Below are 13135 nucleotides of genomic sequence, written 5' to 3' on the forward strand. Positions count from 1 at the left end.
TCTTGAGATGGAGTCTATCTCCCAGGCTGGAGTGCAGTGGCTCGATCTCAGCTCACTGCAAGCTCCGCCTCCTTGGATCACGCCATTCTCCTGCTTCAGCCTCCCAAGTAGCTGGAACTACAGGCGCCCGCCACCATGCCCGGCTAATTTTTTGTGTTTTTAGTAGAGACGGGGTTCCACCTTGTTAGTCAGGATGGCCTCGATCTCCTGACCTCGTGATCTGCCCACCTTGGCCTCCCAAAGTGCTGCGATTACAGGCGTGAGCCACTGCACCCGGCCCGAAACTAATACATTTTATAAACACAAACACCAGATTTATTCTAGTCACTTTCCTCTTCATCAAATAACTAATAAATTCTTACCCCTGTGTCTGTCCAGTCTACACTCAGAACTTTGTCTTCATGAGCAGCCAGATCATAGAGAGGAGCCTTACAACTAAAAGATGAAAATATTAACATATTATATGCATTCACAGTGTTAAAACAAACATTTGAATAATCACTTATACTTATCTGAAAACTTTACAGGGTTTACCAACCTTGCCCCAATAACCACTTAATCTTAAAATTCTGTTTATTTGATCATCTCTCCTCTTTTTCCTGTATCATTGGTAGACCACAGACATTTATTATAACAAATATATTCAGAAAAAAATGTTATTTCATTTTAAGAATTTATTTATAATTAGGCCCATTTTCACACTTCCTTGACTACTTTAACCCCCAAACTATGGCCTTATATACTGTTTGTCTAGCTATCTATATGCAACAAAACAACATATTAACATGAATTTCTTTTTCTTTTTGAGATGGAGTCTTGGTCTGTTGCCCAGGCTGGAGTGCACTGATGCAATCTCGGCTCACTGCAACCTCCGCCTCCTGGGTTCGAGCGATTCTCCTGCCTCAGCCTCCTGTGTAGTTGGGATTACAGGAGTGCGCCATCATGCCCGGCTAATTTTTGTATTTTTATTAGAGACAGAGTTTCACCATGTTGGCCAGGATGGTCCTGAACACCCAGCCTCAGGTGATCTGCCTGCCTCAGCCTTCCAAAGTGCTGGGATTACAGGTGTGAGCCACTGTGCCTGGCCAAAAATTTTTTTGATCCTGGCTTTTCTTTTGCATATCAGTATTTGTCACATGAGGTTGCAAAACCATGAGGCTTTTTTTACTCTTCTGGTTTTAGATAAGAATTTCAGTATTCATTTCCTTTCTATAACAGGTAATTGATATGTTTCTCTTATAGATCATAAATAGAATTTACCTTCTTGTATCCCACAGCTTAACAATGTTATCTAAAGATCCTGAAATCAGCTGCTGTTCATGGGTAGGAGACCATTTTACTGATGTCACCCAACCAGTATGTGACGTTAGGGACAGCGACACCAAAGAACCATCTGAACAAAGCAAAAAAGACAAGCGTTGAATTTTAGAAAAGGGAAGTAGGTAGAAGGAACCCAAAAAATATTTGTAGAAATTTTTTTTTTGAGATGGAGTCTTGCTCTGTCACCAGGCTGGAGTGCAGTAGTGCAATCTTGGCTCACTGCAACCTCTGCCTCTGGGATTCAAGTGATTCTCCTGCCTCAGCCTCCTGAGTAGCTGGGATTACAGGCACGCGCCACCACACCCAGCTGATTTTTGTATTTTTAGTAAAGGCAGGGTTTCTCTATGTTGGCCAGGCTGATCTCCAACTCCTGACCTCATGATCTGCCCGCCTCGGCCTCTCAAAGTGCTGGGATTACAGGCATGAGCCACCACGCCTGGCCAGAAATTCCTTTTTTTGTACATCTCCAGAGAGATGAGAAATAGATGTTATTCACACATATATTCCCCCAGTGGTTTACATGACTCACCTTTAGTTCGGGGATCCCACAGTCTGATATGCCTATCTGTGCTTCCAGATGCTAAACGTTTACAAAGTGGAGAATAGGAAATACAATTAAACACTTTATTTCCTGTCTGAAAAAGAAAAGGAAAGAACATTAACCATGGTAGACTAAAAACCATCTCTAGAAGTTTATCACTTAAAAGAACACTGAATTTGTCTTACCAAAGTTGACTTAAGACTGCCAGACTCAACATCCCACACTCTAATTGTATGGTCCCAAGATGCACTGCAGATTTCTTCAGCATCTGACCACAGAACTGAGGAAACTGCCTCCATGTGGCCAGAGAGGGTCACTATGGGAGTCTAGAAAGGAAGAACCCCAAAAGGGGAAAGTGTTTTCATTACAGAATAATTGAAACAATAATAGTACTTATTACTTACAAAGCCCACATGACAGAGACAAACTGCCCATCTTTCATATCCTGACTTATTTCTTCCTTTACAATGGAATGGATATTTCTGTTTTTATTTTATACAAGACACTGAGGCTGATAAAGATAACTTGCCCAAGGTCATAGAGCTTATAAGTGGCAGACTTGAATTTGACCCCAAATATTACTCGTCTGTAGTCTTTCCACTATATTCTGCTGCTCCTCATCTGTTCTACTTTTCATTTTGATCAGCATTAACACAAACTTAACTCTCCCAGCTGACAAATGTTATATTAAAGATTAGTGCTGGATGGTTTCCCAATGGCCTTGGACTGATGGATACAGTTTCTCCCCCCCTCTTTTCTTCTTGCCTGTAGTTCTCAAAATAACTATAGAATATTCTGGGAATATAACATCCTGAGATAGGGAGCAACTGGCCAGCATAGCCTGGGGGCTCTATTCCAGCTCTTAGAAACAGGATGTCCTTCAAACTTTGCCCAGAGTCAAGTGACCCCAGGGTACAAAAACCAGGGCAGGCTGTTTTTTGGGATCCCTCAGCTGTACTGCAAGTGAGGCATATGCAGTTAACACTCCATTTGCCCCTGGCAGCTTTCTTGAGCCTTGGGGGACTGGCTCACAATGGATCCTCGGCTTCTGTTGTCCCTTGCTGCCTATCTGTAAGTAATAAACCCGTTTCATGTAACGTGTTGCGTGTGTGCTCTTCCTCACCAGATTCAGGCAACTGGTAAAACTGCAGCCCAGGATGCGGTGGGTGAAAGTATTCACACTTCTATTCCTGGTGCCTGGCATACGATGACCTTTACTATCCTCCAACCAGTGGGAATCCTCCCTTAGACTGGTTATTAGTGAAACTGCTTCACAGTTAACACAAAAACCTTTGTGATCAGACAGATATAGGTTTCAGCACCTTCACACAAAATATGCCGCCAATTTCTACACAACTCCTCCAGGTAAATTAATCTCAGTAAGTTATTCTTACCACCTCATTCCTCAGTATCTTTAAGTCCTATTATTTAATCTTTAAATAATGTACACAGTTCACTTATTAATACTCCACAATCTCTAATGTCTTTCTAAACTAAAAGCCCCAAACTAGGTAACTAGGTAGAGTACCTACCTTAAATATAAGGAGTATATAAAAGAGAGTGGGAAGAGCCAGGCACAGAGGCTCATACCTGTAGTCTCAACGCTTTGGGAGGCTGAAGCAGGAGGATCACTGGAGCCCAGGGGTTTGAGAACAGCCTAGGCAACATAGTAAGACCCCGTCTCTACTAAAAATAAAATTAGCTGGGCTTAATGACACATGACTATAGTCATATCTATTTGGGAGGCTGAAGTAGAAGGATCACTTGAGCCCAGCAGTTTGAGGCTACAGTGAGCTACCATCACGCCACTGCACTCCAGCCAGGCCCACTCCTGCAGTGGGCCACTGCACTCGGCCCACAGTTGTTTTAATAAGGGGTTGTTTTTTACAACACTTTATAATTGTAATTTAGGTTTTTGTGTGAACAAGAGAGATCTTGTCTCTAAAAAAAAAAAAAAAGAGAGGAGGCCACACACGGTGGCTAACACCTATAATCCTAGCACTTTGGGAGGCCGAGGTGGGTGGATCACTTGAGCTCAGGAGTTCAAGACCAGCCTGGGCAACATGCTGAAACCCTGTCTCTACAAAAAAATATAGAAATGAACTGGCTGTGGTAGCACACTCCTGTAGTCTCAGCTACCTGAGAGGCTTACATGGGAGGATTGCTTGAACCTGGGACGTGGAGGTTGCCATTAGCTGAGATTGTGCCACTGCACTCTACCCTGGGCAACACAGTGAGAGTCTGTCTCTTAAAAACAAACAAACAAACAAAAAAACTAGCTGGGTGCGGTGGCTCACACCCGTAATCCCAGAACTTTGGGAGGCCGAGGTGGGTGATCACCTGAGGTCAGGAGTTCAAGACCAGCCTGACCAACATGGAGAAGCCCCGTCTCTACTAAAACTACAAAATTAGCCAGGCGTGGTGGTGCATGCCTGTCATCCCAGCTACTCAGGAGGCTGAGGCAGGAGAATCGCTTGAACCCAGGAAGCAAAGGTTGCAGTGAGCCGAGATTGCGCCACTGCACTCCAGCCTGGGCAACAAGAGTGAAACTCCATCTCAAAAAAAAAAAAAAAAAAAAGAGGAAAAGAATTCTGGAATAGGGGATAGTCAATCTACTTTTATATAACTTTGCTACATTTAACTTCCTTAAATATTGCCTCATCTGTAATATTTAGGAGTTATAACTGGATCAGAAAGCAAACTTTTTCAGTAAAGAACCAGCAAGTAAATATTTCAGCCTTTGGAGACCATACACAGTTTCTGTTGTATATTTTTCTTTGCTGAGTAATATTCTGCTGTATGAATAATACCACAGTTTTGTTTTTTGTTTTTTTGAGATGGAGCTTCACTCATCGCCCAGGCTAGAGTGCAATGCACAAGCTTGGCTTACTGCAACTTCCACCTCCCAGGTTCAAGCGACTCTCCTGCCTCAGCCTCCCAAGTAGCTGGGATTACAGGCACGTGCCACCACGCCTGGCTAACTTTTCGCATTTTTAGTACAGACGGGGTTTCACCATGTTGGTCAGGCTGGTCTTCACTCCTGACTGCAGGTGATGTGCCCGCCTCAGCCTCCCAGAGTGCTGGGGTTACAGGTGCCCCACTGCACTTGGCCCACAGTTGTTTTAATAAGGGGTTGTTTTTACAACACTTATAATTGTAAAAACCATCCTTAGCTCTCTGTAGCACAAAAATAGGTGACAGCCAAACTGGCTGTTGGGCTGTAATTTGCCAACTCCTAGACCAAATGATCCCTGAGGTCTCTTAGCATTTTCCTGAAAGAAGTAAAGGAACCTGATAGAGGAGTGAGAAACAGAACAATCTCTGATGTCATCTAAAACAAAATGAAAAGGTGACATAGAGGTAATCAGAAGGCTCTAGAATAGAAAATGACATGGTAGGCCGGGCGCGGTGGCTCACGCCTGTAATCCCAGCACTTTGGGAGGCTGAGGCGGGTGGATCATGAGGTCAGGAGATCGAGACCATCCTGGCTAACAAGGTGAAACCCCGTCTCTACTAAAAATACAAAAAATTAGCCGGGCGCGGTGGCGGGCGCCTGTAGTCCCAGCTACTCGGGAGGCTGAGGCAGGAGAATGGCGTGAACCCGGGAAGCGGAGCTTGCAGTGAGCCGAGATTGCGCCACTGCAGTCCGCAGTCCGACCTGGGCGACAGAGCGAGACTCCGTCTCAAAAAAAAAAAAAAAAAAAGAAAATGACATGGTAAAAACAATAGGCAAACTTATCATATGAATAAGCTATACCATTCCTAGGCATTTATCCAAGATAAATGAAAACAGGTTCACACAAAAACCTAAATACAAATGTTGATAGTTTTACTTATAACTGCCAAACTGGAAACAATCAAATATCCTTCAGCTGGTGAATGATTAAACCAACTGTGGCATATCCATACCACAGAATACTACTCAGCATCAATAACCCCCAACAACCTCAAAAAATGTCAAATGCTTTATGCTAAGTGAAAAGGGCCCGATACAAAAAGCTATATACACTATACTGTGTGACTGCACTTATATGACATTCTGGAAAAATTACAGGGACAGAGAACAGAGTAGTGGTTTTCAGAGGATAGAGGTGGGAGGAAAGTTGACAAGAAGGGGCAATATGAGTTTTCAGGAATGATGGACTGTTCTATATCTTGGTTGTGTAGCAGTTACATGATTCTATATATTCATCAAAACTAAATAGTTATACACCAAAAAGTGAATTTTCCTCTAATAAAACTTTTCTTTAAAAGTAGAAAAGTCAACATTGACATTGTCACTACAAACTAAGTGGAACAGAAGTACTGGAGGGAAAAAAGCAATTTTGAGAATTAAGGAGGAAAAGACTATTGTATGTTAATATATCAAGCAAATGACAGGTAAATGAACTGGCAGCATTATTCACATTAACACATTTCAGGCAGTAGAAAGAAATGCAAAGAGAAGATACCTATTTTTGATATGTTTTTTCTCTTTTTTCTATTATTTTGCTAAAATCCAAATTTTTCTTTGCTTTTTTTGAGACAAGGCCTCACTCTGTCGCCCAAACTGGAGTGCAGTGGTGCAATCGTAACTCACAGCAGCCTTGACTTCCTGGGCTCAAGTGATCCTCCCACTTCAACCTCTCAAGTAGCTGGGAATACAGATGCACACTACCATGCCTGGCTAATTTTTAAATTTTTAGAGATGGGGTCTTGCTATGTTGCCCAGGCTGGTCTCAAACTCCTAGGCTCAAGTGATCCTCCAGTGTTGGCTTCAAAGTACAGGTGTTAGCCACCTTCTCGGGCCCCAAATTTTTCTATTATTTCTAACGCAGCAACATTTTCATTGTAATTGGCACTTCAAAGGTTTCTGGCATGACTTAAACTAATAATTTATGCATGTATAAATTTAAACCCTATAAAAAGCTAAATGATTTCTCAGGAAAAATCAGTGAAAGGAGGAAAAAAGCTAAATGAGAAACTCAATATACTATTATTTCTCTCAAACGAAATGAACTATGGGAGCAAGCTTACGAAAGTATGCACCTAGAAATAAATGGTATCAGCAAAGTAGAGTGGGAGAAAATACTTAAATACATATATTCAGCAAAGAACTTGAATCCAGAATACATAAATAACTCTTACAAATCAGTAAGTAAAAACAAAGCAAAACAACAACAACAAAAAAATCAATAAGTAAAATAGAGCCAACACTTTTAAAAAATGGGCTATGAGGTGGGAGGACTGCTTCAGCCCAGGAGTTTGAGACAGCTCGGGCAACAAAGCAAGACACCATCTCTATAAAAAAATGAATAACAACAACTTAAAAATTAGCTAAAAATATGAACATTTCATAATTATCAAAGATCCAGGGCTTATTAAAAGTTAATCATGACTTTAATAAGTAACCATATCAAGTGCTGGTAAAGATGTGGAGTAACAGCCAGGCATGGTAGCTCACGCCCGTAATCCCAGCACTTTGGAAGGCCGAGGTGGGAGGACTGCTTGAGGTCAGGAGTTCAAGACCAGCCTGGGCAATATAACAAGACCCCATCTCTTTAAAAAAAAAAAAAATTAGCCAGGGCATGGTGGCATGCACCTGTAGTTCCAGCTACTCAAGAGGCTGAGGCGTGAGGATTGTGTGAGCCCTGGAGGTTGAGGCTGCAGCTGAGCCATGATTATGCCACTGCACCACTCCTCTCAAAAGGGGGGAAAGAAACGTCCATCAAAAGAATAATAAATAGCCTGAGCGTATTGGCTCAAGTCTGTAATCCCACCACTTTGAGAGGCTTTCGGAGGCTGAGGCAAGCAGATCACTTGAGCCCAGGAGTTCAAGACCAACCTGGGTGACATGACAAAACCCAATATCTACAAAAAAAAAGAAAAATTAGTTGGGTATGGTGGCATGCACCTATAGTCCTAGCTACTCAGGAGGCTGGGGTGGGAAGATCACCTCAGTCTGGGGAGGCTGAGGCTGCAGTGAGCCATGATCAGGCCACTGTACTCCAGCCTGGGTGACAGAGTGAGACCCTATCTCAATAATGGATAAATTGTGGCATATTGATGCTGCAATGGAATGCCATATATTAATGAAAAGATCTATCTTACAGATATCATATGAAATTTTAAAAATAGGTAAAACTAATCTAAGATGGCACAACTCAAAAGTGATTACCTTTAGGGAGCTACTGGTTGAGAGGCAGGCTAGAGGCAGACATCTAGGGTACTGGTATATCTATATTTTTATTTGGGTAGTAATTACTTGAGTATACATATTTATAAAAATTCATTGAGCAGGCCGGGTGTGGTGGCTCACGCCTGTAATCCCAGCACTTTGGGAGGCCGAGGCGGGTGGATCACGAGGTCAGGAGATCGAGACCATCCTGGCTAACAGGGTGAAACCCCGTCTCTACAAAAAAAATACAAAAAATTAGCCAGGCATGGTGGCGGGTGCCTATAATCCCAGCTACTCAGGAGGCTGAGGCAGGAGAATGGCGTGAACCCGGGGGGCGGAGCTTGCAGTGAGCCGAGATCACGCCACTGCACTCCAGCCTGGGTGACAGAGCGAGACTCCGTCTCAAAAAAAAAAAAAAAATTTTTTTTTTCATTGAGCAACATTTAAGCTACATGCCAAACTTTAAAAAGAGAAAAAATTGGCAGAGCATGGTGGCTCAAGCCTGTAATCCCAGAACTTTGGGAGGTGGAGGTGGGAGGATCACCTGAGGCCAGGAGTTTGAGGTTATAGTGAGCTATGATTGTGCCACTGCACTCCAGCCTGGGCAACAGAGCAAGACTTTGTCTCTTTAAAAAAAAAAAAAAAAAAAAAGAGAATAAAAGAGCTACCTTCTCAGTAAAACATTTTTATAACTCAGGAAATCTTTTCCTACTCAGATATGTTCTTTAAAAGTTTGACCAGGGACATGCATGAATATAAACTCCCACTGGCACAATATCCAAATGGTAAGGCATTTCTAGCTTTATTTTTTATTTTATTTTTTGAGACAGGGTCTCACTCTGTTGCTCAGGCTAGAGTCCAGTGGTGCAATCTTGGCTCACTGCAACCTCTGCCTCCTGGGCTGGGCGTAGCTGGGACCACAGGTGCAAGCCACCACATCCAGCTAACTTTTAAAAAATTTTTTGTAGAGACAGGGTATCACCATGTTGCCCAGGCTGCTCTCAAACTCCTGAGCTCAAGCAATCTGCCCGCCTTGGCCTCCCAAAGTGCTGGGATTATAGGCCTGAGCCACCACAGTTGGCCTCCATTTCTAGCTTTAATTTAGCCTACCAGAGTAAAGAAGTTGAGTAAGTGCCAGATCTTTCCTCTTGCAATTCATCAGTCTATGTTTAAATGTATTAAGAAATTATAAATCATTACTTTCAGCTGGAACCAGTAAGCGCTAATATTACATTCTATTTGATAAATAATTTATGATCCCATTTTATTCATTTTCAACAATTTTTACAAGATATTTTATTGGTGACTATAAGAATTAATGTGCAAATGTGTGCTTTATTTACTGCACATTCATTATAGCTATTAGAAAATGAATGAAAAGTGTTTTTCTAAACCTGACTCAGTATTGCCCTTCACAAAAAGTATATAAATACAGGTCAGGTCACATTATAACAAATATCTTTGTAACAGGATAAATAATAATCTGCATGAAAAGTCAAACTCATGGAAGCACAGAGTACAACAGTGGTTGCCGGGAACTGGAGTGTGAGGAAATGGGGAAATGTTGGTCCAAGGGCACAAACTTTCGGTTATAAGATGAACAAGTTCTGGGGATCTAATGTACAGCATGGGTGGTGATGGATGTGTTAATTAATTTGATTGCAGTAATCATTACACAATGTTTATGTGTATCTAATCATGTAGTACACGTTGAATATGTTCAATCTTTATCAATTAAGTATTTTTAAAAGTAAGAAAAAATCTGGATAAACTTTCTGAGTTTGACTTAATGGAATCTAACAGCTAAATGACAGAATCAAATCCCAAATTAAACTCTTGGTTTCTAGTGATTTAGAAGATATAACTAGGATCCCTTATAAAAATTACATACTCAGTGCATGAAACAGATAATATTATCCAACAGCCAGGTAATTAGATGCTTCACTTTAGTGTAAGTTTTAATAATTAAAAGGTCCAGAATGCAACATGAGATCAAACATAATAACTAAATCATCAACCTAGCAACCATAAGCCTGGCTCAATGCCACTACATTCAAAGATACAAATAAATGTAGCAACAATACTTTGCTTATAATAAAAATTTACAAGTCTACTGAAAAAAAGGATAATCATGGTTAAAGCAGCAAGGTAAGACAGAAGGCAACATAAACAAAAAAGACCATATTAAATTACCATCTATTTGTCAACACAGGCCTAAGGCAAGTACAGTCAGTTCTCACAAATACTGACCCTTGTTAGTCCCAACTGTTCTGTCTTCTGTTTCTTTCTTGGTCGATTTGTGGACTCCTCCATTTCATCTTCTTCATCTGTAGGGACTGTGTCATAGAGAATTAGATTTGACATTTTAAAAACAGTATTAATCGTGAACTGTCTGAAAGAATTCTTTACATTTCCAGATATAGTTTTTCCACGTTATCACACAGTTAGGGAATGAATATTCCTCATCATTTTGGTTAACAGAAAGTTATATATAAAATATTACCTAGATTACCAATCTCTAAAAATAAAAAATAAAACATAAACTATATTAGAAAACTAAAATCTAAGTAATTTAAAATCTTGCTATCTTTAAGGTCATCATTATAAATATTTATCATTTTATCATAGCTATGAAAAATTGCTTACTGTTAGTTGTAGGAGAGTTATGACATTACATTTACATTATGAAGGAGGGAAGGATAAAGTAAACACATGATAAACGCACATACATTTCAGCCATGTTTATTCTCTTAATTTCATTTTTCTACCAAAAATGTTTCTGGTTTTTTTGAGTTTTTAAAATCTTTGTTATACATCACTTGGTTAAGCAGCAAACCCAGATTGAAAACTACATAAAATATGCAACATTAAATATGTAATGTATGTTACATTATATGTTATATATAGTAACATGCATATTATGTTACATTAAATATGTAACAAAATATGTAAAACATTAAAACGTTTTGTGGCTTTTATGGATATTAATATTTCTCAAACTAGATTATAAACCACTTAAAGTTAATAGCTAATCATATACAATCTCATTTACTCAGCCCTATCAAAAAATAAAAAATTCTACTAAAGAATTTTCTAAACTAAATCACTTTTTGCCACCAAATTATTTGCTTTCATCATTTTTGTAAAATCTACTAAAACGGATTATATATTTCCCACCATCTTACACATAATTATTCAAAACTGGTTAAGCTTTTCTTGATCCCCCTCAAGTCTTTGTGAAATGCATTTGGGGTATTATACTGTGTAACACAGCAATTACCTAAAAAGTAACAGAGGTATTCTGATTTGTTTACCTATGCAATAAATAGTTGTAGCTACTAGGTCTTAAAATGTAAGTATCTATGGGTGTGTGTTTTTTCCTCTTTTCTTCTCATCAGTGTCTTCTTACTACTATGAAAGCACCTTCCTCTCAAAGTCCTTCCTCCTCCTCCCTCAATTTGCTCCTTTTAATCTATGCTTTCAGAGTAAAAATATTAATATTGGTAAAACTGCATTGAAAAATTTTTTTAAGTAAACCAGCTTACCTAAGAAATTAACAGTAAAATGACTCAAAAGTCATTCTTACATTACTTAAGTCAAAATGGCTCGGAAAGTATTTTTATTTACTTCCAAGTTTCCTGAATAAGAGAACTTTGAGAATCAAGGTATTTATGTCCTATTGCACCAAACATGTTTTTGATACTTGCAATTCAGTGACACTATCCTGTAAGTAAGGGGGTGGTGGGGTAGGAAAAAAAAAATCTTGAAACACAAAGAAATATATGAATTTGTTGCCATACTGGTCTCTTTTTATGGCAAAATATGGGTTAAAAAGTCCCCTTTCACTAAACTGATTTTTTTTTTTTGAGACAGGTTCTCACTCCATCACCCTGGCTGAAGTGCAGTGGCATGGTATCATAGCTCACTGAAACCTCAAACTCCTAGGCTCAAACAATCCCCTTACCTCAGCCTCCCAAGGAGCTAGGACTACCGGTGCATACCACCACACCTTGCTAATTTTAATTTTCTACTTTTAGTAGAGACGGGGTCTCACTATGTGGCCTAGGCTGCTCTTGAACTCGTGGCCTCAAGTGATCCTTCTACCCTGGCTTCCTGAAGTGCTGAGATTATAGGCGTAAGCCACCATATAGCCTCCGAATTTAAATTTTTGAAACAACATTATTAAGTCAAGGTAAAATAAATATTTAATTTACCTGTAGACCAGATCTTTAGCATCTTATCCCAGGAGCCACTGCAAAACTAAACAGATGTATATGAAGGGAAAAGACATATGTAATATGATTCATATTATTTGCCTACAACAGTAGGTCTCTTCCTCATTCAGGACCTTTTCAAAGAACTTGTGTTCCACAGAACTGAAATTAGCCTTTTTCCAGGGGCAGATAGGACAGAACATAAAATCTGGGAAATCTTGAAGGCCAAGCTTATTGCCATGTCTTTTGAAGAAAGCCAATCTGAAGTGAGAGAGAATAAAGTCAACTTGAGGGACAAGACAGCGAGAGGGTGTGCGGACCACATTCAAGCCTCTATTCCACTGGTTCCTGAGGCCCAAATGCACCATTACCCTTCTTGTGATGTGGTTGTTCAATCTTTCCTTGGATCTCACAATCCATTTACTTTTAAGGTTAAATAAGTTCAAGTTGAGTTTCTATCTCTCCTTAACCAAAAAGAAGAGGTACAGTTAATCCACTAAAGTTTGGACTAAACAACATATAAAACTTTTCGGCTCAATATGAAAAATCATAAATCTTCACCTTTGAATACAAGCATCCTGTTACCCTAACTGTCAAAGAAACACTCTTAAGTCCAGAATACTTCAATGTGGCTTAGGAAACTTTCAAATTCTAAGTGGATTTATAACCCTTCATATTAATAAATCAATATGGTATTGCCCTCAGGTTTGTTACCTTTTAACTAACTTTTACCATTTTGTCATGATAAAGAGTAGATTGATACTATAGTAAAACTCTATTAGCACTAACTTTAGTGTATGCTAATGCTCAGACTATCAACTAGGCGTTTTCAGTTGATGACAGCACTTAAGAGTAGCTGATATAGACTGGAAATATGTCAATTACTATGAGGTAAGAAGGTTA

At 39.7% G+C, this 13135-nt stretch overlaps 1 protein-coding gene across 2 annotated transcripts in view; it reads right to left on the minus strand.

Annotated features, from left to right (window-relative positions):
- WDR12 (WD repeat domain 12) overlaps window positions 1-13135 on the minus strand; it is a 37413-nt gene that overhangs the window by 8088 nt on the left and 16190 nt on the right. For both annotated transcript variants that reach the window (NM_001371664.1, NM_018256.4), the window contains 6 exons: window positions 12233-12278; window positions 10269-10354; window positions 2047-2187; window positions 1850-1955; window positions 1261-1393; window positions 363-435 (listed from right to left, as the gene is read on the minus strand). In NM_001371664.1, coding sequence (NP_001358593.1) covers window positions 363-435; window positions 1261-1393; window positions 1850-1955; window positions 2047-2187; window positions 10269-10354; window positions 12233-12278 — 585 coding nt within the window. The remainder of the gene's footprint in view (window positions 1-362; window positions 436-1260; window positions 1394-1849; window positions 1956-2046; window positions 2188-10268; window positions 10355-12232; window positions 12279-13135) is intronic.

The sequence above is a fragment of the Homo sapiens genome, chromosome 2 (genome assembly GCF_000001405.40).
Source record: "Homo sapiens chromosome 2, GRCh38.p14 Primary Assembly".
Taxonomy (NCBI): Eukaryota; Metazoa; Chordata; class Mammalia; order Primates; family Hominidae; genus Homo; species Homo sapiens.